The 24,757-nt window shown below is 35.8% G+C and overlaps 1 protein-coding gene across 28 annotated transcripts in view, besides 2 other annotated features; it reads right to left on the bottom strand.

Annotated features, from left to right (window-relative positions):
• NRG1 (neuregulin 1) overlaps nt 1-24,757 on the bottom strand; it is a 1,134,802-nt gene that overhangs the window by 42,240 nt on the left and 1,067,805 nt on the right. For 23 of the 28 annotated variants that reach the window (NM_001159999.3, NM_001159995.3, NM_001322201.2 and 20 more), the window contains one exon: nt 3,729-3,858. In NM_001159999.3, the coding sequence (NP_001153471.1) occupies nt 3,729-3,858 (130 nt within the window). Of the gene's footprint in view, nt 1-3,183; nt 3,859-9,764; nt 9,973-24,757 lie in introns of those variants that run through there. The other 5 variants (NM_004495.4, NM_001160002.2, NM_001160007.2 and 2 more) reach the window with 2 other exon arrangements.
• Nucleotides 9,158-9,728: an enhancer, noted in NCBI's record as "OCT4-NANOG hESC enhancer chr8:32579597-32580167 (GRCh37/hg19 assembly coordinates)". NCBI's record gives its function as "activates a minimal SCP1, AML or CMV promoter by ChIP-STARR-seq in naive H9 embryonic stem cells {active_cell/tissue: H9 hESC(naive)}" and the evidence as "EXISTENCE:reporter gene assay evidence [ECO:0000049][PMID:30033119]".
• Nucleotides 9,729-10,299: an enhancer, noted in NCBI's record as "OCT4-NANOG hESC enhancer chr8:32579026-32579596 (GRCh37/hg19 assembly coordinates)". NCBI's record gives its function as "activates a minimal SCP1, AML or CMV promoter by ChIP-STARR-seq in naive H9 embryonic stem cells {active_cell/tissue: H9 hESC(naive)}" and the evidence as "EXISTENCE:reporter gene assay evidence [ECO:0000049][PMID:30033119]".

The following is a 24,757-nucleotide window of genomic DNA, read 5'->3' as shown; positions in this document are numbered from 1 at the left end:
ATAGACAGGACCATGATGAGCCAATGCAATATTTTTATGTCTTCTGTTTCTATTCAAGTGGTCTAGTGAACAATGTATTATCATAAGACCTAGTATATTATGTCTTTGTTTAAATTCTGACTAGTGATTATTTTTAATGCTATACATATTTTACATACAGGATTTAAAAAAATAAAAACAGTTTCATGTAACGAGAAAGGTTTGAAGTATTTTGGATGTAAAATATACTCTCCAATTCTTCCCTCAAGGTTCTGGCTTGCTTTAATATGTGAATAAAGTCACCATCTCAAAGGAGGGGGAAGTTATCAAAATCATAGATGTCAAAGATTTTCTTTCTGATAAGATCCAGTAATAATTTAAATAACTTACCTAAAAGATCCTAATTACAAAAAAAAAAAAGGTGTAATTTCTTAGAACTAGAAGGCAAGAATGATCCACTAGACAATTAGCTCAGAGGATGGCTTGGGGCTTTAATAATTATCAGAAGAGTAACAAATGTTTCACTTCAAGATTTTTAAAATATAGCACGTTTTTACTACTGGATTAGGCTTAAGATTTAATGAGAAACTGTGTTGAGTGAAGAAAAATTGCAGTTGTTGGCACAATATTAAAATGAAAAAACTGAACAGCACTTACGCGATTGCATGTTTTGTATTGGACGTGGGAGGGCTAAAGAATAGCTGAAATTAATATGTGGAAAAGAACTGCCCTGGTTCCTTAGAGGTATGCAGAAACTATCATATGCACTCACTCAGCTTGTAAATCTTTGCTAAGTGATGATGAAAAATGATCATATTTCATTACTATAATTAAAATATAGTGGTCTCAGATGCTTTTCTGAAGAAGTAAAAATATGAGACATAGATAATATGGGTACACTGTTTAAAAAGGAGAAGAATTTAAGGACCTATAATTTAAATGCTTTTTCAAGGAGATTTATTAAAATACAATTACACTGTATGCTTAAGATTAGGAAAAAATAACAAGGTTTCCCCATATAACAAATGAACCTCATATTTTATAGATTACAATTCTCAGCTTCTGGCATTTTCTATTTTGATCAGAGAAAACCTTACAAACTAAAAACCTGGTTCATCCCAATTTGCTATGATAAATATGGGGATGTCTCATATTTGTGCTGTATTCACAGCAAGTCAGCAGAACTAAAGACTAAATCAGACAGATTTTTATTCTGCTGCAAGCATATAGATTTGAATATTTTAGTGACCAAGAAGTGAATCTCTAAGATTATTTTTTAAACAATAAACATAGTCGTATGAGATAATTCAGATCTAAAAGGAATGATCTTTTCTACATACTCTTTTTTTAATTTTTTATTCTATTTATTTATTTATTTTGACAGCCTTACTCTGTCACCCAGGCTGGACTGCAGTGGCATGATCTTGGCTCACTGCAGGCTCAACCTTCCGGGCTCAAGTGATCCCCCCACCTTAGCCTCCCGAATAGTTGGGACTACAGGTGCATGCCACCATGCCCGGCTAATTATTTTTCTGTATTTTTTGTAGCAATGGTGTTTTGCTACATTGTCCAGGTTGGTCTCCAACTCCTGGGCTCAAGAGATCCGTCTGCCTCGGCCTCTTAAAGTGTTGAGATTACAGGCATGCACCTGGCCTCATACTCGTATTTCATCTTGCTTTAATATTTTTTGCAAGACTTTTACCTATCATTTCACTTTGGCTTATAAAAATTATTTATTTCCGTGAAAGAGATGTTTAGTAATTGAGATTAGAATTTTACTGTTCTGGCTCTAAGTCTTTTATTCACTCTAACAGATTACATTTACTTTTACAAATTGTCTGTCTTTGATAAAATCAGCTATACAACCACCAACACTTGTCTTGGCACTGTATCTACTTTTTTCAAAGAAGAGCTTTAGAGTGCAACAAAGGAGAAGTTCTGGAAGGTGCTTGTTCAGAGCCATGAGGTCCCATCAGGCACGCTACAGACACGCCCAATCTACCACAGCTCAGAGAGCAGCAAAACATGGCCTACAAAATGGCATTTTCGATCGTTGCTTTTTTTGTCTTTAAAACATATGTTTTTTAAGATGCACTTCCTTACTTATAAATATAATTAAGATTTTATTAGAATTGGCACCTAAATATTTATATAGTATTTCTGTGATGTAAAAGGGACATGGCTTTGTTGACTATTTCTGGTGCCTTTTTCATTTTGCTAATTGCTCCTATCAGTTCAATTGCCTCTCTAACAGACTTGTTCTTCCTTGTCAAGATTTAAGTCACACGCCAATATTCTAGCAGAAAACAGTTTTTGTGACAAAATGGTTTTCCCTCCTTTAGAACAAGCATTGCTGCTTTAGAATAATGTCCCCACTGCATGTTTTCGCTGGGGACTGCTGGCAAAATTTATTAGATGTTCTACATTACATTTTTTAAGGAACGACTTTTAAAATACCTTGCTTTTGGGATATAGCTGTTGGTAAAGAGGAAAACAAAGGTGTATTTTCATCATTTCAATAAAATATTAAATATATTTTTATGCCCACATCAAATTTTAAGTCCATATACCATATGTAGACTAAATATCAACAGTAAACTTAAAATGCATGGCAAAATAAACATACTTTTTAATGAGTCCTATTAGTTTTTACTACAAGGTTTAAATATTTAATGTACTGATACTATCACTATCTTACGCTGCCTGTTGAGAGAGAATAAATTGGATACTTCTTTATTTTTATTATTTTTTTTATTTTTTGGGACGGAGTCTCGCTCTGTCACCCAGGCTGGAGTGCAGTGGTGCAATCTCGGCTCACTGCAAGCTCCACCTCCCAGGTTCACGCCATTCTCCTGCCTCAGCCTCCCGAGTAGCTGGGACTACAGGCGTGTGCCACCACGCCCAGCTAATTTTTTTTTGCATTTTTAGTAGAGACGGGGTTTCACGGTGTTAGCCAGGATGGTCTCAATCTCCTGACCTCGTGATCTGCCCGCCTCGGCCTCCCAAAGTGCTGGGATTACAGGCGTGAGCCACTGTGCCCAGGCCTAAATTGGATACTTCTTAATGGTGCATCAACTCCTTCAGGTCATTGGAAAGACAGTGCTATTCTAGATATATCTATAGACAAATGAAAGAACACTGCTGTCACCCACAGGGATGCTACATACAATGTATTTCCAAATATATGCAATTTACTTTTTTCTCTTTTTTTACTAGCAATATAAAACTAAACTCCGTTTAAAAAATAGTTATGCAACAGTAAGACAATCCCAAGTGTAATAGATATATGTCAGTAAATAATCTTCTGCCCTTCTGCTTCTCTTTGTTGTCTTATTCATTTGGCAGGTGATCACTGGGATAAGAAAGCAACATTATCTTACAGCTTAATTCATACATTGGATGTAGAAGTAGATACCAAAAGTTATAGGCCTCTGTGATATCTGCACATCTTTTCTGAATAACAACAAGAAAAACCACAAGGAAAGCAACACTATAAATAACATGGCAAAAAACAAAAACAAAAACAAAAAACACCTCACACACATTGAAAAGAGCAAAAAACAATTCTGCATATGACAGAGGAGTGATGACGAATGGTGTGAATGTTTTAAAACACTCTACATATAAAACAGCATTATTCAACATGATGCAACAAAATTGGAAAAAAAGCAACAATACATCATGAGACATAGAATCATCTGAAACAAGGAGTTATAGACATAAGCGACACACAGGATTTCTTTTCTTACTTGCACAAGTATCTCGAGGGGTTTGAAAGGTCTTTCACCATGAAGCACTCCCCTCCATTCACACAGAAAGTTTTCTCCTTCTCCGCACATTTTACAAGATGGCTTGTCCCAGTGGTGGATGTAGATGTAGCTGAAGAGGAGAGAAAGGAGAAAGGTTAACATGGACTTTTTTTCCCCCTTCTAAGCAGCCTTTAATCTTAAATTATCCTAAAAGGAAGAGTTCATATAAGGTACAGATTTCACTAAACTTGCAGACCTTACAAACAATAGCAGAGAAGTTAAGCTGTTTGTGGTCTCACTACATAGAATCAAATTATAAAAGAGAGAATTATAGAGTTAACTAATTTTACTATAACTAAATAGGAAAAGAGGCTCAACATTTTTTAACCAATATTTTATCTTCCAGGTAGTTGGAAAAGAGAAGCTCTATTGTCATTAAGCAAAATACATTTCTCAGGAAGGTTCAAGGTAATGGTATAAAGTCATGTCAGTGCAGCTCAATTTAGACATCTATTTTTAATGGCAATCAATTGATAAAATTATTTATTTTTGAAATGTTTTACATGCCTATTGACTTTACATTTTTTAGACATGATGTATATATTGAAAAAGAAACACAAGTTGGCTTATTTGTTCCAAATGAAAACATTATAGATTATTAGTCAGATACATATCAACATGCAGATTAGAAGCCATTCTCTTCTAAATTTCTTTTCTACTCTAATTTCTTAGAGGAACATGGTTGAATGTCCAAACGCCATCATACTTTTAAGGAAATGGAAAGAGTCTAATATCACTGTAAATGTAGACTAAAGCACTACAAAATATCTCCATTTAGAATGAGAGGTAGAAATAAGTTTCAAGTTTGGTTTGCAACACCTTCATATAATGAACTTAATATTCACTTGTCAAACTTCATGTTACATGAAAGTGGGTGCATGAATTATACAAAGCCAAAGCTCTCAGCCCCAGGCCACCAGGGCATTTAGTACCAGGATGTTTCTTCTCATATCATTGGGAACACCATGGGCAATACTCAGTCCCAACCAAAAATAGTCTAATATACACAATGTTTATCAATGATATTTTCAGGATGAAAAGCAAAACCAGTATATCAAGCCAGTACAGATTCTATATACTCTTTTAGGAAAAAAAAAAAAATCCATCTTTAGAGGCAATTTTTTGTCTTGTCTACTGATAACATTCTTATGAATTTTTAATTCCTTTTTAATTCCTTTCTGTCTTCCTTACTAGTTTCTACTTTATTATTTGCATGTGAGTTTCATATGACCTTGTTTACTTTTATTTGACCTGCCATGTATTACTTTTCCATTTTCTTCTGCCTTTCCTGTTCATTTCCTTCGAAAGTCTACATTTTGTTGTGACACATAACCTAATTTTGTCTTCTCCCCTGCTTGATTTTTATTCTATCTGACTGGAATACTCAATATCTGATTATTCCATTTCTGAATTACTCATGGCCTTGCTTACCTCTTATTATCCTGTCTAAGGCATGTTTTTGGACCCCTTTCATTGATCTCAGCATGGCTTTTTCGAATAACAGCAAAAGACACTCAAAACAACTTGGATTTGGAGACAGATGTGGTTCAAGTCTTGTCTCCTACTGGCTTTGAATAAGTCATTTAACCACTCAGATGCTCAATATTCCCATTAAGAAAAGAGGGGTAATGGCACTCTTACAGAATTCTGTAGAGGTTATAAATAATCTAGATAAAGGAATTGGCAAAAAAAAATTGGCATTCAATGAATAATAGCAAATATTAATGGGCAAGCAGGGAAGGCTCTTAATTTGGGTATGTATAAGAGAGAAAAATCTTGACAATGGAAATCTGGGGACTTCAAAGATGTATGCTATTTATTTATTTTTTTAAAGGAGAACTTTATTCCTAAGGATGTGCATGTTATTCTGGAATCATTACTATGGATAAATAAGAATTGGACTAATTTTTTATTACTCCAACAAAAAGCTATTTTCAAAATACATTTCAAGGCATCTTTTCCAGGCTTACAAAGCAAACAAACTAAACAAAAGGAATAAGAAAGAATGAGTAGACAGGTGATTTTTACCATCAATTATCAGTTATACTTTAACATCTTCATTAAGAAGAGGGGAAACATGATTTGCATTGTTTGGTCTGTAAAATCATGGAGTATACAACATTTCTATATATCACACAGCATATAATCTTAACATAATATCCTTTCATGTAAAAAACTACTTATTTAGGTGCTATGTATTAATATTTTCATCCACGGCAATTGCCTTTAAAAATATCAGGAAATGGGCTGGGTACGGTGGATCACGCCTGTAATCCCAGCACTTTGGGAGGCCGAGATGGGAGGATCATGAGGTCAGGAGTTTGCGACCAGCCTGACCAACATGGTGAAACCCCGTCTCTACTAAAAATACAAAAATTAGCTAAGCATGGTGGCGTGCCCCTGTAATCCCAACTACTCAGGAGGTTGAGGCAGGAGAATCGCTTGAACCTGGGAGGTGGTGGTTGCAGTGAGCCGAGATTGCACTGCCGCACTGAAGCCTGGGTGACAGAGAGAAACTCTGTCTCAAAAAAAAAAAAAAAAAAAAAAAAAAAAATTAGGAAGTTTGCCTCGAATGTTAAAGGTTTTGTGCTGAAAGGCTTTCAACTGCTGACAGAATTCCATAGGATGACAAATGGAGCAGGGTATCCTTGCTGTCCCAGATGACAGTGCTGAATGGGCCACCTGTGGTGTGCTGTCACCACGCAGTCCTGCAGAGGAACTCTGAACCTCAAGCAGACCCTAGTGGCCTTTGCATCTCTGACAGGTTGCTAAAGATTGCCCTTCATGCAACCTGAACAGCAAACACTGCATGAGCTCTCTCAGGACAAATGCCAAGGCTTTTGCTAAAAACAACAAAACCAACATTCCAACTCCCCCCCAAATGTAGACACTCCTTATAAAATGTAAACAATAAAAAAAAGCAGTGACATAAGCAACACATAGACACATCTCTTCCTTAGACTCTGATTTTATGAGATCATCAAAATAAGATTAACAAATATGTTAAAAACTAGAAACAACCCTCTTTTTAAAAGGCCTTAAAAATATAACTCTCTGAAATGATTATCCTTGTAATGCTATCCTGAAGCCCCTAGCTCTGACATAGTCATTTAAAAAATTCTTAGATCATTACCTGAAACTAGTAATGGGATATTTCATAGCAAAATGATTCTTGGAGGGAAATGAAGTAGCAAGTATCTCATACAGTTATGGATTATTATGCTTAGCACTTTTATCCTTTAGCAGTAGTGAGATCAAAAAATGATCACGAATTGTAAGGCAACAATGAGCTCCCAGGTGATGCGAAGTGTTACCTGAGTGGATGCAGCTGCTCCAAACCAGCAGCCAAGCACAGGAATAAGTTGTAATTGTCGGAAGAAGCCGGGATGGAGATGGTGATTTTCGCCAGGTTTCCTTTTGCTCTCTTTATTTGAACACAGGGCCCTGACAGTCTTACACAGGCCTATAAATTTCGCAGTGATATTTTTTCTCTGTGCCGTACACACTCAGTATTCCTAAATCAGTTTCCATTTGGTAATTCAACCAGGATGTAATGAAACCGACAAAGCCGGTCCTATGCCAATCAGAGCAAACAGCATTCTTTCTGGGGGGGCTGGGAGGAGTTGTATTAAAGGTAAACTAAAGATTTGGAAGATAAAATATGTTTCAATATATAAAAGATGATACCCCCCAATAGTTGTTCCAGGAAGGAGGTGAACTGGATCTCACTAAACCTTGTCTCCCTCTGATTTATGACTAGTTTTTCACAATTTGTAAGTTGTCTTCTAGTGACTACAAAATGAACAGCAATTAGAAACACTACAAAATCTGACATTACTTTGATGTTTGCCATTTATGTGACCACTTTATCCCAAACACACTTTCCTTGGTATGTCAACAACTACAGTATTATAAGGAAGAAAGTATAAGGTAAAGCAGAAACTTACTATTAGGTTGGTGCAAAAGTAATTACGGTTTTGGCCATTCCTTTTTAATACCAGAGAATGTATTTTGTAGTATTTTACTCTAGACCTGGTTTGCCTTGGCAAAAAAGGTCAGGACAAATGATCATTGCTGGGGAAGCTGGACAGTTCTCTGAAATAGCTGAGAACTGGGGGACTACTATTATCATTTAGAGGTTCCAAAAATCCTTTACCACACAAAAGGACTCCCTCCTTCCTTCATGCCCTTCTTCTTTCTTCCTTTCAGCCTGCCCCTCCCTCCCTTCTTTCTTTCCTTCCTTCCTTCTTTCCCTCCTTCCTTATTTCCGTCCTTCCTTCCTCACCTCCTTCCACAATTGTTTTTTTTTTTTTTTTTTTTTTTTTTTTTTGAGATGGAGTCTAGCTCTGTTGCCAGGCTGGAGTGCAGTGGCACAAACTTGGCTCACTGCAACCTCTGCCTCCCAGGTTCAAGCAATTCTCCTGCCTCAGCCTCCTGAGTAGCTAGCTGGTACTACAGCCATGCGCCACCACACCCGGCTAATTTTTTTTTTTGGCATTTTAGTAGAGAGGGGGTTTCACCATGTTGGCCAGGATGGTTTCCATCTCTTGGCCTCGTGATCCACCCACCTCAGCCTCCCAAATTGCTGGGATTACAGGCGTGAGCCACCACGCCTGACCCACAATTCTTTAGTGACTGTTTATTATGTGCAAGACATAATGATAACAACCAAAATCACTGGGGTTAAAAATTGTAAGACCATGACCAACTCTCCCTAGAAGAAACCCTTCATAGATAAAATGTACTGAAATGAACACTGAAGTTGGCTGGGAAGAATCAGGTCCAAGGCACAATTTTCCAATTATTAGCTGTGGGACTTCTCTCTATCTACCTGTCTTAGAAAATTCAGCTGCAAAAATGGATACCAAAGGGTTGTTGCCAAGTTTATTAAAACACTTTGTCAGTTGCAACACTGCACACAAATATATGATACTGTTACTATTACTAATGACATAAATATTGAGCAAACAAAAGTAAAAAAAGAAATTCTGCCCAGACTGAAATGTTACATATATAACCAAGCCTCAATAGTTGTTTCTTAGGAAATTATTCTTCTGCAAAATGTGAAAAAAGATGGCCTAATTTGGAGTGACAATCATTGAGTGATTATAAAGCATTAAGTAAATATCAATAATCTGTGTTTAACTTTATCAAAACTACTTGTCAAAAATGTATAACCACTTAATTTCCTTATAAAATAAAATTGAACAATTTAAGAGAAATTAATATCATAAATGCAGGATTATTTTACCCTTTCAAGATCTACATAATTCTTTAATATTTCTGACTGAATTTCCAAATTACAAGAATTAAACTTACTTACAATATTATGTATTATGTGTTATAACAATTTTTTAAAGTATAAAATATTTTAAAATAGTGTCATATCCATAGCATGTAGACTGTAATATAAACTTCGTTTACAACTTAAGATTTTGGAAATAATACTATTGCCCATTTTGTAAATACTCAGAATAAATAGCTGAGAAATAATCAAGTGTTCTCTGCTTGTTACTAAATATTTTCCCATGGAATCAAACAGTATTTCCTGTAGAAGGCTAGGTTTTTTTCTTCTCAAGACAGGCTAAAAAGAAAATAATACTGTAAAGGATGGCTTGCTTTTCTTGCTTGTTTTAAGTGGTGTTTTCCTTATCAGTGAAGTAGACAAAACCAGTAGACCAGGACCATTACACAAATGCAAACTGCTGATAAAAAGCCACTATTCTTCTTTGACAATTAGCAGGAATTAGCATGAGTATACAGTGTATATATACCTCACAAAGCAATCATTAGATCCTGTTTCCCTTGAATGAATTAGTCCTCACCCACAGCTTTTAGGACAATTCTTTACGAGTTACTTACAGAAAATTAAACCAAATAACTCTACGCCATTTGCTTAATAAAATATGCACATTTTAAATGTTTGAATATTAAACTGCTAGTCACTACAAAATTACAGATTTTTTTTAACCTTACCTGTAATATCTTCAATGCTTATGTGTTTAGGAATCTGCATACTTTCCTGCTCTTTGAAGTCCAGTTAAAAAATCTGAAATTATTATTCTTGCTCTGAATATAGCTCCTTTGCAATTAGGTATAATGAGCAGACTGAACTCCTACTGGGGAAAAAAATGCTTAGGTGGTTCCTGAAGATGAAGCTCTGGAGCAGAAGCTGAGCAGAAAGAGCTGTGCCACCTAATGTAGCTTCTCTAGATGCCAAGGGAATGATAGGTGGAGTCATTAGTTTTCCAAAGGAAAGGTTCAGAGCCAGGCTCAGAACCACGGAAGCCTTGTCATTCTGGGTTGGCATTTTTTCCTGAGAAGTCATTCAATCCTTTGCTGAATAGCAAATATGTACTTGAAAAAGAAAGAAAGTGGCCAGAGGAGATCAAAGAACCTGCATAGAGTTGGAGGTTCCCAGAGCCAATACAGTGACTGGAAGTAATGTATCATCTCTCTTGACCTCTCCTTGACTGAACTCTGCTCAAGAAACAAAAAGGGAAGCCAGGAGAATTCTCAGGAGACGGTTAATGGAACTAGGACTTTCTAAAGCAGAATTAGGGCATCCAACTCCATGGAGCTCAGGACTTAGCTAATACGCTGGGAGCACTTAGAGGTTTGTAGACTTCCTACAAGGTGACACTTTGTCCAAAGAACAAGTTGACACCAAGGGCCAATGGAGATTAACTGGTTTAACTGATGAACTTGGGCTTTGGCATTGTTCAAACATATATAGAATGATAGGACTATCAAGGATCTTAGCACATTTTATAGTTTATCCTATATTTTAAAGGAGGATACAGATCATCTCAAAAGAATAGTTCTGCAGTCTTTAGTAAAATACCTCTAGCTAAGAATTCACAAAAGTGCACAGGGGAAGGCTGCCCAAGGTCACATAAGTGAATTAGAAAATGCTTCCTAAGTGGGTAAGATTCCTTTCTCCCTTACAAGCTTTCTGGGCAGACCCTGATATCATTTCTTCCTATTCAGCAGAATGAAAAGTGACCTTTGGGTGTTTCTCCTGATAAAACAAAATTATAATTTTTGTTGTAACACTGATCTCATTTGTAGCTAAACAGAAAGCAGATTCTAAGTTCCCAGCAGTGGCTGAGCAAATGATTTGGTGTCATTAGACAGTGTTATCCTTAGAATAATAAGATTGCCAGGAAAGGTTATTTTTCAAACCTACAAGTTGCTGTTTTTTTTCTGTTTTTTTCAGACAGTGCATTTTACTCATGGCACAGTCTAATCATCCTAAGTCTACTATTTCTCAGGAGAAACATCTCAATGATACGAATACCATGGAGGATGTCATAGCTTTTCCAAAGAAGAAGAAAAGTATCTTCCCATAGTGGATAATTGACTAAATGGAGTTACAAGAAAGCTACATTTTCTTCTTCACAAAGCCAATAATCTTTTCTTAGCTGAGAAGCCAATTCCAGAAACACAGTTCTGCTACATATTTTCTACTAATCACTGACAGTTTTATATGAGTATAAAATTTCCATAGCCGGAGTCCACAAACTTTCAAGCTGTCCCTTGAATCTTTTTCCATCAATACTTAGATTCTAAAGGAGTACAATCCGTCTAGCCTGCAAAGCAAATATCAGCAGGCCATCTGACTGGCTTAATTTGATATATTTATAGACCTCACCAGGCTAAATGTGGAAGGCACACATTCTTTACTATACTCTGCATTTTCTACCAGGATCATTTTGGGTGGAAGAAGGTCAAGTCAATGTAGAAAATGTTAACCTGTCACTTTCCAAACTAGTCAAATCTTTCGTACCAAGCAAAACAAATCAAAACAAAGAGGACTGAACATCCAACAAGAATCAAGGATTCAGTTATTCAACAAGCTACTGAAATTACCATGTGACATTTAATGACATGTTAATTTATTCACCAACTAAAGCCCACTTAGAAATGAAAGTAGCTGAAAGGTCAAAAGAGAGAAATCATAAGGTAAATTCATTATCTTATTCAACAAATTTAAAAAAAAACATCATGGCACATCAACAAATAAAAGTCATATGGTCATTTCAATGGATACCGAATCAACCTTTGATGAAATTAGAAAGTCAATTTTTGTAAAACTATTCAGTATTATCTTTAAAAATCAAACCTGAATTTAATCAAACATCCACATACATGTAACCAACAGGGACTAAATTAAGTGGCATCAAGAGGGGATGCAATAAAACCCAGAGAACTTTACAGGACAAACAACCTGGTTTCTTTAAAAAAAAGTTAAACGTAGAAAAAAGAGACAAAGGGAGCTAGGGCTAGAATCAAACAAAGAGTGAAAAAAGGAGAAAAATTCGAATATCAACACTTAAAATAGCATTAGGAAATATAGCAACCAATCAAAATGGTTGTGAATTTTATTCAGATCCTGATTCAAACAGTTACAAATGTAGGAAATCTGATCATGGATTAGATAATGAATAATAATATTAAGGGGTTATCATTAATTTTTATGTGTGTCAAACATGTTATGGATATATTTAAAAATAGAAGAGTCCTTATCTTTTAGAGATACATACTGAAATATTTATACATTAAATGATAAGATGTCTGGGATTTGCTATAAAATAGTAAGAGAGAAGGGAAATGACTGGGATGAAGATGAAACAAAACTGATAACGGCTGAAGTGGGTGATGGCTACATGGAGATTCATTACACAATCCCTTGTATTTTCAGGTTTTTAATATGCATGTTTAAATGGATATTATATATGTACTTGTTTAAATATATGCTTATATTTATATTTAAAATTTAAAAATGCAAAAATATAATGATTTTAGGTTTTTCAAAACATGTCTTTATATTGTAAAACTAGAATGATATTCTGTATCACTAAGAATATCTGCTTTTAGCTAATAATCTAAATGATCCTTAACAGTGAAACTCTAGGGGAGATTTCCATGACTGTCAAACACAAGTAAAGGATATTGACTATCAGTGCTACTATTCAGCATTGCTCTTAAAAGTTCTAATCAATGCAGTAAGGCAGGAATAAAAAAATTATGATACAGCTTTAGAAGATGAGAAGATAAAATAATCACGATCTGGAGATGATATGGTTGGATACCAGTAGTAACCATCAAGAAAACCCAGTGAAATAATGTGATCATATTCACAGCAGCAACAGAAAATATCAATCAGTTAGGTCAGTCAGGCATGAATTTAACAATAAATGTGAGAATGGGAACTATATTAAAAGAGTCATATATTAAGAAGGTGAATTTGGCCTATGGTTGTGGGAGAAGATGGCATTCCACTAAAGGGAAAAAACAAATAAATGCGGAGGTAAGAAAGTAAATGTCATGTTTGGTGGTGAGAGGCAGCAGTTCAATTTGACTAGGACATGGATTATAAATAAGGAGGTGAAGTTAATGAAGCTATAAAATAATAATGCAACCATACCAGAGAAGCCATTGATAATCTGGTTGGAATTAATGTTTAATATGTAGGCCATGAAGAGAGTTAGGCTTTTGAGTAGGGCCATAATTAATGAAACTAATGGTCTCTCCTGCAGCCTTTGGAACGGGAAAACATGGAGATGAGACTAGTGAAGGAGGTGAGAGTAGAAGAGGGTTTGAGGATAACAGTGTTTGCAAGAAAATGATGGAAAAAGAATAGGGATCATATTCAGGAAATGACACTACTTTATATTTATATACATGAAAATTTGAGAAGAGCTAACTGCTGGAGTTCCTTTGTATTTCACACCTTGTACTACACCTCTTTCAAAGGCATTCAAACTGCTTATCACACATTTTCTCATTACTCTTCACGCAATCTAGGAAACACTCATCATGTTAACAGAGGAACTGAGGCCCATTCTCAATATGCAATACTCACCGGTAACACTAAAACGTCTGTTACAGGTAAAGCTGTCACTGTGCTTTCCTAATCTCACTAGACTACGTGTCTGTTGATATAAAGGATCCCATTAAGATGGACAATACCATAGTTGGCTTGAAATGATATGTTTTTTACAGAGATGATGAAGGCAGTGATGTGCCTATGAGTTATAGAAGCATCTTCACTCCAGGAAATGATTTCTGACAAATGTTTTAAACAATCTAAACTTTCAGTACTTTGAGGCAAGGAGCCTCCCTAAAAGTGTAGCAAAAAGTGGGTTCTAGGATTTAGACACAATCTTCCAAGTGTTTCGGGTTTGAGCCAGGCCTCTTTGAACAGTGGCTTTGCAGGTAAAAAGCCTAATATTCCTTAGAATGTCGCCCATGCAGCTTGAAACACGCCTCTCTAAAACCCCAGACTGCACGTTGCTATATACCATTTAGCCAAATCACTGCAGTTCTGTGTTTGTGTGATGGTTGTGGACATAAATAGCCAGTTTATGTTTCCACAAACACAACATTTTCCTCACTGAGGCCAGAAATTGCTGCACGGAAAGCAACGAAGCAGTAAAAGTAGGTTTGAGCATATGAATCTTGCTCCATAACACTTGGCTAATTTCAGTCCATATATTTTCCCACAACTCCCAGGAGTTCCTTGTTCCCAAGTTCACGATCAGAGTAGCAAAACATGTCTCCCTGTAATACATTGTGTTATTAAATGTATATCTGCTGTTAGGTTTCCAGTACAAATTCTATGGTAACCAAATAACACATGAAAATCTAACTTTTTAAAGTACTCTACGTCATTTCACTCATGACCAATCTGAACAGGAATAAAACCAGTTTCAAAAAAACATATAATTTTAAGTGCTTTACTTAAAGAAAACGATTTCCTTTTTTTTCTTGCCACCCCCGCCACCCAAAACCAGGACTAGCTGGTCATAATAGTTCTTGCTTCTCTAAAGAAAATGTACATTTTAGTTCAGAGAAATAGGCCATGGGGAGGTAGTATTGCCGCAAATTCTGTGTCTTTAGTGGAACAGGGCCAAAATGATAAATTAACTTTACATTATGCCTAAAGAAGCCTTCCCTAAAACCCGGTGCTTTTTCTTTTTCTTCTTTTTCCATTTTTGGGGCTCCACACTCAAACATAACAAGCACCTGTTTTTCTACTGTTGGCTTTCAACCTAATGTTGTTCAATGGGAAGGAAGCAAACAGGTGTGCACACTCCTTTTCTACATTACATAATATTAAAAAAAATTGGGGTTCTGCATCCTGCTATCATCATCTGGCTTTGCTGCTATGCACACACACACACACACACACGCACATGCACACACACACATGCACACACGCACGCACACACATCATGCAGTTGTTAGAAAAATCTAATGGAAATCATCTTGGTTATATTTAAACCAAAAAAGGGCATGTGGAAGAAGATCATAAAAAGAAAAGTAGAGCAAAGGTTAGGGCCTTATCTCAGCTTGCCTGGCTAAATTCCTGCATCGTCAGACACAAGGAATATTAAGGTCCATACATAGGACCTTAGTTATAATTCATTAGTTTTTTCCTGGTAGCACTGTATCTATCTATATATATATGGGCTAATAAAACACTTCCATCTCCTGGAGCTGTAATAACTCAGAATGACTGAGGTCTTCCCCTGCTTCTTTTAAAACATAAACCATTTTTGTAGACGCTGCAAGCATGTGTTTAATACAGATCTTTGTTCTTTCCATCCATTACTACAAAGCCACCTAAAAATCAAAGCATTGAAAACCAAATGGTAGGCTGTGTTCATTCTTCCAATTCGGTTCCTCACATTTCCATGCAGTTCCTGTAGAAGAGTCAAAGTCTTCAGTTGAGATTTGCCATTTACTCAAAAGCTTTCAAAAAGTAGAACACTTTGTAATGCAAAATATGTGTAGCAGGAATTTGCATTTCTAGTTCAGCTCAAATAGGTGTAGCCAACACCTAGTGAGGCATGTTCTAATTAAATAACCACAGAATCCAGTGACTCCCATAATGGAGAGACATATGCAGGAGCTACACTTCTGAATCCCACCAAGGGAAGAGTTCACAGATGACAGGCTGGTTGTAGTGATGCCTCTAAGCAGAAAACAAGGCCTTACCAGGAAAACAAGACCTTGCTAAGAAGAAGAAACCAGACCTCTGATCCTATTCTTTAAAAAGGCCTGGTTTAGGCCAGGCACGATGGCTCACGCCTGTAATCCCAGCACTTTGGGAGGCCAAGGCAGGCAGATCACAAGGTTCGGAGTTCAAGACCAGCCTGACCAATATTGCAAAACCCCATCTCTACTAAAAATACAAAAATTAGATGGGTGTGGTGGCACACGCCTCAGGAGGCTACTCAGCTACTCAGGAGGCTGAGGCAGGAGAATCACTTGAACCAGGGAGGCGGAGGCTGTAGTGAGCCAAGATCACATCATTGCACTCCAGCCTGGGCGACAGAGCAAGACTCTGTCTCAAAAAAAAAAAAAAAGGGCCTGATTTATTCATGGCTTTTCCCTTAAGAAATCCTTACTTCTGAAAATTTTTGAAATATGGAAAACTTTTATTGAAAGAGAGACTTTTCTTGGTTTCACACCTTTTCAGTGTGTTGGAGCTTCAATCACAGGGATGGCATTGTCTCTGAATAGAAATCAGTCACCAGTGGGAGACCTTTTCTGTCTGGAGGCTCCCATCATTTCCTCATGCCTTTCATGCCTAGCATTATACTACAGACTGATCCTTGGATTTTCCTCTAAGTCTGAAAACCTGAGGGAAGTGAGTCATTGCTCTACTGAGATCACACAAGTCCTAGGAATTCAATGGTCATAGTTCAAAGGATCTTAGTTACCAGAGACATGTTATAAAAATTCAGCAATCCAGTTGGGTGTAGTTGTTCACACGTGTAATCCCAGCACTTTCAGAGGCTGAGGCGGGTGGATGGCAAGAGCACAGGAGTTCAACCAGCCTGGGCAACATGGTGAGGCCCTGTCTTTACAACAATTTTAAAAATTAGCTGAGCATGGTGGTGCGTGCCTGTGGTCCCAGCTACTTGGGAAACTGAGGTCCAGGAGTTCAAAGTTAAAGTGAGCCATGTTTGTGCCACTACACTCCAGCCTGGGCAACAGAGCAAGATCCTGTCTTAAAAAAAAATCAGCAATCCTTCATTGGCCCTTCATGCTGCTTTGAATAAAAAGGTTATCAAAATCTGTCAAATGGCTGCATGGGTCTATCACAGCCACTGAGTCTGGCCTGAAGCTCATGCTTGGGGAGCTAACACTCTACTTGCCAAAGTACTGTGCGTGCACGCGCTTGAGCTTGTGTGTGTATGTGTGAGTGTGCATGTGTGTGTTTGTGTGTGTGTGCATGCGCATGCCTGTGATCCTGGCTTTCCTTTCCTGGAAAAATCAAAGTGCATCCTGTCACCCAGTGACTGAAAGACTGATTTTTATTCTTTAGTTTTTTGTAGAAGAAATGATCTGGAACTGAAAGATTCACTGATAAATAAGCATGTAGGTTACTTTGTGCTTAATTATATCTCATCACTCCTTTTATCAAAGCTCTTTTCCTACAGCCAGGAAAGTGTCCAATACATCTCATTATTTTTTCCCCCATTTGTGTTGTCTAGATTCTTGCTTGCTTGTTTTCAATCTAATCAATTGATAGCAGTAGTCCATCTTGAATCCAAATATAATTTTAAGCAGACTAAACATAAATTGATTCAATAGTTAACAATACTATTAAAACACATCATCATTCTTTAACATTTAAAAAATACCATTTTATTCTTTGCTCAATTTAAGCCTTTAAACACCTACTTGGCCATTTTGTTCATTTGTCTGCTTTCATTTTTTGTTTTTGTTTGTATGTTTGTTTTCAAGAACATAACACCATGTCATTTGTCAATTATTTTCACTGTAAATGACTACTACAAAGGTAAACAAGAAGAACACATGGATGAAACAGAATAGAAATGACAAATGCATTCATAGCATCAAAATATTTCTTTTCGGTTGGGTGGAGGGGCTCACACTTGTAATCCCAGCACTTTGGGAGGCCGAGGTCGGCAGATCACTTGAGGTCAGGAGTTTGAGACAAGCTTGCTCAACATGGTGAAACCCCGTCTCTACCAAAAATACAAAAATTAGCTGGGCATGGTGGTGTGTGCCTGTAATCCCAGCTACTGGGGAGGCTGAGGCAGGAGAATTGCTTGAACCCTAGAAGCAGAAGTTGCAGTGAGCTGAGATCGCACCGCTGCACTCCAGCCAGGGTGACAGAGCGAGATTCCATCTCAAAAAAAAAGAAATATATATATGTATATAATATCATATATATTTATGTTATAATTACATATAAGATTTTAATTATATAAATATATAATATATTTATAACAAATATATTATATATTTATAACATAAATATATTATTATATATATTTATTTAAAAGTTGGAACTAGGCATGGGCAAACCCACAGCAATATCTACAGAAAACAGAAAACTCTGGCCACACATTTTTTTTTTTTTAAACTTACTCATGAATTATCAGAGAGAAAGTAAACAAAAAAAAATCTGATGGTGGATGTATGGGAGAAAAGGAGAGAGCAGGCAGGAAATGGGGTTTGTGAAAATTCAACATTTCTTAGGATTTAGACAATGAATTTGAAGTTCAACTCAATTAGGAAGGTCTAGGATGCCAGTTTTGTAAGGTAAATAAGGCGTAATACCCTTCAGGGACTAAAGTTAGATAGTCACAGGATAGTTTACCGAAACCGGAAGGATTTTTGATGTACAGAGCTGGTTACTTGTCTGAGTTTGTTCCTTCTTTTTGAATGCACCACATTTCTTGGGTCAACAGGCTGGCAGCTGTTGCAATTTATGGTAAAGTCTAGCTTCAAATCCTGATGGGAAGCTGGAGTTTCCTATATAGGACTATCATAGCAGCAATATGGCAACAAAGGATCTTCGTTGATAAGTCTAATGAAATTTAATCTGTTAAGTGGGGTATGTAATCTATGTTGCTGGAATCACTTTCGAGAGACAGGTACACTAAGTATATACACAAAGGTCGAAAGAGAAAAGATGACTGAGCTAGGAATTGAGTCACGTGGTCTTTTGATTTGTGGGATCAGTGCTTCAGGCTCAACGTAACAAAGCTGACCATTTTCACAACTCTGACAGAGGAGCCATGGATGATCCAATTCTAGAGATAAGAGATATAGCTGAATTAATAAAATTTTGGCTGTATTTTACAAGCTCTGTGACTAGGCATAGTATGAGGTCAGTACAAAGTTCCAACCATGCTTAGATCAGAGAACCACTAGAAGCGGAGGTCCAGACAGAAGAAATCCATCACTACCACAGTAATGGTAGGAAATATCAGGCGTGGCACCAAAATCTTAACCATAACTACCCTAAAAACCATCAGGAGGATTTCAGAATCAAAATAACAAAAAGGACATACCCTCAGTGCTTAGCTAAACTCTATGACTTAATAAGGTAAAAATGAATATTTGAAGTTAGATGAGAAGTCATCATTTTAACGAGGTTAACATGGATCTGTACTGATTCCAAAGACAGAATTTTTATGTGTAGCACTTCTAATTCTCCAGACATAATTTACAATAAGAGACAAGTTCCTTAAAAATTATTTAAAGATTGAATAGCATGCGCAGTTGCTGCCAAATAGGAGACATACTAAATTCCCCTTCACTTTTCACTTGCTCCTTACTTACAACTCCTTTTACTAAAGGAAAAAGAAAGGTATCAAATATGTCTGCTGACCATTACATGTAAGGCTAGTAGACTCTTTACAGACAATTTCCATAAAACACAGCATCCAAAATGGAAAAATGGAAATTAACTTTGAAAGTAAGGAAAGGCATAACAAATTTAACTGGATTATCATCATTACCTGTGATAAATACTTTTCTGTCCCAGAAGCATGAAAATCGGAGAGGCTGTCTAGATTCTTTCACATGCTAGAATTGATGTCTAGAAAATACTGTTTGGGATATGGTTTCTACAAAGTGCAGAAAGACTGAACCATCAAAGTCATTATTGGCTCAAGGAGAAAAGTACAAGGAAAAGGGCCATGTACGGTAAGGGTAATAATAATAAGTTATTACCTACGCAGGCTCACTCTGCCATCCGTTATCCAACTTACTGGGTGTGAAATGTTAAAAGTAGAACTAAGATTCTGGGATTACCATTCTGTTGGTTTTCTTATTATTGAAGAAATAAATGTACTCATTCTTAATAGTCATATTTCTAGAATGAGTCATCACCAACTATATTTCAATACAGCTGAGAGTAAAACATCACAGAGCACTTTAAATGTGCTCACAACTACCATTTCTACTGGGCATGCTATTTATCATGTTCTGCTTATAGGTGATCTTCAAGGTAGGTCACGAGGGAGGAACTGGAGAAATGAGAAGCAAAGAAAGAAGACATTTTGTAATTGCAAAAATGGAGGTGTGCTCTGGATAGCATGTTTTGTTCTTAAACATCTTCTTTCCTCTTTATAGCACAACAAATTCATAGCGTAACATTACAGCATAACTTCATAGTGTAGCAATGATTTTTTACAGCAATCTTGTCTTTTGAAGTAGAAATCATTTTTACCACGACCAGTAGGTGTTTGGCATTGATAATGTTAGCTAGGCATTGTAAAGTTATGTCTTTTGCTTCTCTTCTTCCTGGTTCCCTTTTTTTGGAGAAGAAATGAATGCAGATAAAATCCAAGAGTTATCTGTATAGTAAAGCATGAAAATTCTTAGCTAAGACAAGATAAACTGACATTCATTAAATATCTACTATGTGCCAGACATTCTAGCATTTTAACACCTTTAGTCCTTAACAAGAAATAGGTGACACTTTCTCTTTCTCACAGTTGGAAAAAAAAAAAAAAAACTGAGGCTGAAAAAAGTTAAATGGCATGCCTTTGTTCTCAAAATAATAAAGAGGAATTCCAAGGCAGGTTACTTGCTAGGCCCATAATACAGCCACTGAAATATTCTGCCCGATGACGCCTCTTTCATTCCAGAACTATATATGTCACCTTGTAGCTAAAAACAAACAAGGCCATTAGAGAAGCCATATTCTTCTACATCTGAATATTTCTCTATGTTTGCAAACTACATTGTCAGAGAATGAGACTTAAAATATTACCTTTAGGTTGTGCATACTTAGCAGAAGGCAGGAGGCCACTGTGAGTCAAACTGATGCATTTTAGTTTTCATTCACGGAAAACGCTCTGTCTATATTATCTAGTTTTCTGTTGTCTGTTTCAGTTTATCTGTCTAGTTTTCTAGTTGTCTGTTGTCTTATATTTTTCATTAAGCTTTCCTAAACACTAGAAAACTAAACTGATCTTGAGTAGTTAGACTAAAGTATAATATGAAAGTTATCAGAAATTCAATGATGTGACCACATAGTGCCAGAGTGTTATAAGGGATTCTATTTAACCTTCATTCAGATTAACATCATTTTCCTTTTAAAAAATATGCCTTAAAAACAACTTAATTTTCATTTAGTAATGACTGTAGAGTTAGAAAAAAATACACACTTTACTTTTTTATGAGACCAAAGAGAAATGCATATACATAAAAATGCACATACAAATATAAATATGCTGAGTTATAAACACCATCAGGGAGTTATGGCACAAGGAACTATTCCAAATGAAATGCTAAATTTAGTTATGATGCCTGTGCAATATTTAATATTTGCATAAGATCTCTGATTGACCGCAATGCAAAATTAATACCACTGGATCCTTTAAAAGCTGATTGTACACAACAAAGAGATAGGGAGAAAAGACAAAAAAAGTATTTCTATAAGAGATGCAGATAAATTACATAAAATAAAAAAATTATCTCCAGGGACATTTGATGTTAGGTTCATTTTGTTGACTTGTAATTTTCTTTAACCTCATTTGTATATAACATGCAAATCACACACAAGAAACTCTTAAAAATAGGTCTGATGGTAGCACTCCTTAATTAAAAGTTAATTCCTGACTGTCAAGTAATTTAAATGAGCAACATTTAAATAAATGGGCTGTTCTAAATAGTTAACATAAGACATCTTTCGTTTGGTTAAATTACATATGAGGATCATCTAATCAGACTTGCTTTACATAGTTACTCCTAACAAAAATAATGCTAAAAATCAGAGTGGCAGACATATTTAAAGTGTTTACTAATGGCAAATAACTGCAAAATTGGAAGAACAATGTAAAATGTGAGTTAATTTGTGTAATTTTCATCAGTCTCTTCAGTATTCCGTTGATTTTTTACTAAATTTTATTCAATTGACTATGCCAAGCCTTATCTTCACTCATTTAAAATTTGAAATACAGGCACACATGTTCTCAGAACCTCTTGAGACAAAAAATATATATATAATAAAATATGCCAGGCTCATTGGCTCACACCTATTATCCCAGCACTTTGGGAGGCTGAGGCAGGAGGATTGCTTGAGCCTAGGAGTTCGAGACCAGCCTGGGCAACATAGTAGTACCAGACCCCATCTCTACAAATAAAACAATTTAAAAATTAGCCGGGCATGGTGGTATGGGCCCATAGTCCCAGCCACTTGAGAGGCTGAGGTGGGAGGATCATTTGAGCCCAGGAAATTGAGGCTGTAGTTCATGCCACTGTACTCCAGCTGGGGCAATGGAGTGAGGCCCTGTTTCAAAAAAATAAAAATAAAAATGAATAATAATAAAATAAAATTTGAAATATAGCAAGGTAAGTCACAGATTTGTTCAAAATAAGTTAAAGCTATGGAAGAAATCTGAGAATCACAGAATTTTCTATTTACTTCGGTGATAAGAGAGCTGAGGCACATGGCAAAAATATTATATAGTTTTTACCTACAATTACATATAAGAGGCGTGACTAAAATATTGAACTTTGTAGTTTCAAATGCACCATTAACATTTTTCACTTAGGCTTCTTTGTTTCCTAAAAATAAGCAGTCAATGTTGAGTAGAAATGTCAAGAAATCAATAAAAAGTAATTAGGAAGAGTGTTTAATGTCCTTGAGAAAAGCTTTGAAAGCAAAAAGGGAATCTTCGGCTTAGTGAACAGTCAACATTCTTACATTTTCTTCCATAATAAAAAGAAAAGGCAATAATTTAAATTACTTTTTTAATAAAAATAAAACATACAGATGTCAAGTGTCACCCTGGGCCATATTGCAGTTAATGCGGTTGCTTTCCATCATAAAAATCCACCAGTGAAAGCTGTCCCGGGGTAATGACTTCTTCCTATAGGCAGTCACTGTTATATGTACCCATGTGTGATAACAAGCAATAGAGCAGGAACCCTCATGTTAACACTCAGTTGCTTTAGCTAACCATTCCTGTCATCTTAAAAGAGAGAAACCGAGAGAAAGGAAAGAATTATTGTGTGACTTCAACATGCCAGGGCAAAAATACACATGATCTCATAGGCTCTCACAATAACCTGTAAATTCTGTATTATTTACCTGCACTTATTAGAAAGTAAACAATATCTCAGACAGATTAGGAGTTTGCCAAGACCCTACAGGTGGAAAATAGCAGAGCTGGGATTCAAACTCAGATCTCTGACCACAAAGTCCCTACTCAAATGTCTTATTCAATGGAGGTTCTCAGTATTTTGAGAGCTAAGGACTCCTTTCAGAATTTGGGGAAAGCTATCAATTTTTGTTTACATGTACAAATAAAAACCAAGCATACAATTTTGGAGTTTCATGGACCTCTTTTTCTGAAGCCAATTCAAGTTAAGAATTCTTCACATGAAGTCTAGCTCTAAATGACCTTTGACATCTTCCATAATTTAGAAAACTCAATAACATGATTCCATTAGAGATAAGACTAAAAGCTGTTTCCTTCTATGCATTATTTTATTTGCTTTGTTTCAGAGGTCTTTTTCAATAATCTGTTTAACTATTTCAGAAGCAGATATAAGAACATTTGAGAACATCATCAAAATTATTGTAGATCATCATAAGATAATATAAGTTAGGAAAGGAAAACTTAATTAGGAGTCTTTTGGATTATGTTAAGTATAATAAGGATGATTTAACTTTTAGGACTTTATTACAAATACTGCCACTATTATTTTGTTTTACAGATTATTTATGATAATAAAGGAATATTTTATTTAAAAGGTATCCCTGTAGATTAAAAAAAATACTTCATATACATATAACTTCAGAAGATGATGGGGGTATGAGGCCAGGGAGAAAGAGAGTCTCTAATTTTTTTCTTTTTATTGAGAGAACAAAGATGCTTACCAGGCTTAAATATTCTTATTTTTAAGTTTGGACTAGCATTATTTAATACAAAAGCCCAATTTTCTGAAAGAAAACTGCAGTAATTTAATTTTTTTAAGTACATTCCTTCTGAAAAAAAAAATCTCAAAATGCCACAAACCAATTAGATATATTTTTATTTATGTGTTTGCAGAGTGCACAGCTTCAAACACACCAGGGGACTGTACCTAAATCTTTTATTAATATCATATTTAATGGGAAATTCCAAGTTGACTTATTGTAACATTGAATACAGAAACCCACTCATATGATTGTAAACACCTTTGGAATGAAATATAACTGTGTCATTGCTGAATAGTTAAAGGTAACAGTTTATTTCATATTAAATTTGAAACAATCTCTGACTGATTCTTTCCTTCTCCCCTCAATTGCTCTGAAACAGTTCTGAGAAGGCATTTTGCTATAGTGACTTTTTTCCCCTCATATCTTTCTCTCAGGAGTATGACAAAAGATTTGAAAGAAAATCTAGCTTTTAAGTTTGTACAATCTTCTTATCATAGGACATTATTACCACTGATTTTAGGTCATATATTGTTACAACTACTAAGGTGTTGTTATTATTACTCATCAATGTAAACATTACAATGTATTTTTATTTTATAGAAATGGAATGGCAAGTCTGCTATATCTAATAATTTGTTACAAATTACTCTAATTATCTGAATTAAAAGCATCATTTATCAAGTGATGAATAAGACTGCAGCCCAGCACAAAATACATTTTTCTTTAAAAGGCATTGTTTTCTCTACAAATAGATTTC

This window comes from Homo sapiens, chromosome 8, assembly GCF_000001405.40.
Source record: "Homo sapiens chromosome 8, GRCh38.p14 Primary Assembly".
NCBI classification, from domain to species: Eukaryota; Metazoa; Chordata; class Mammalia; order Primates; family Hominidae; genus Homo; species Homo sapiens.
The sequence above is the reverse complement of the archived record's forward strand: the minus strand, read 5'-3'. Positions and strand labels throughout refer to the sequence as shown.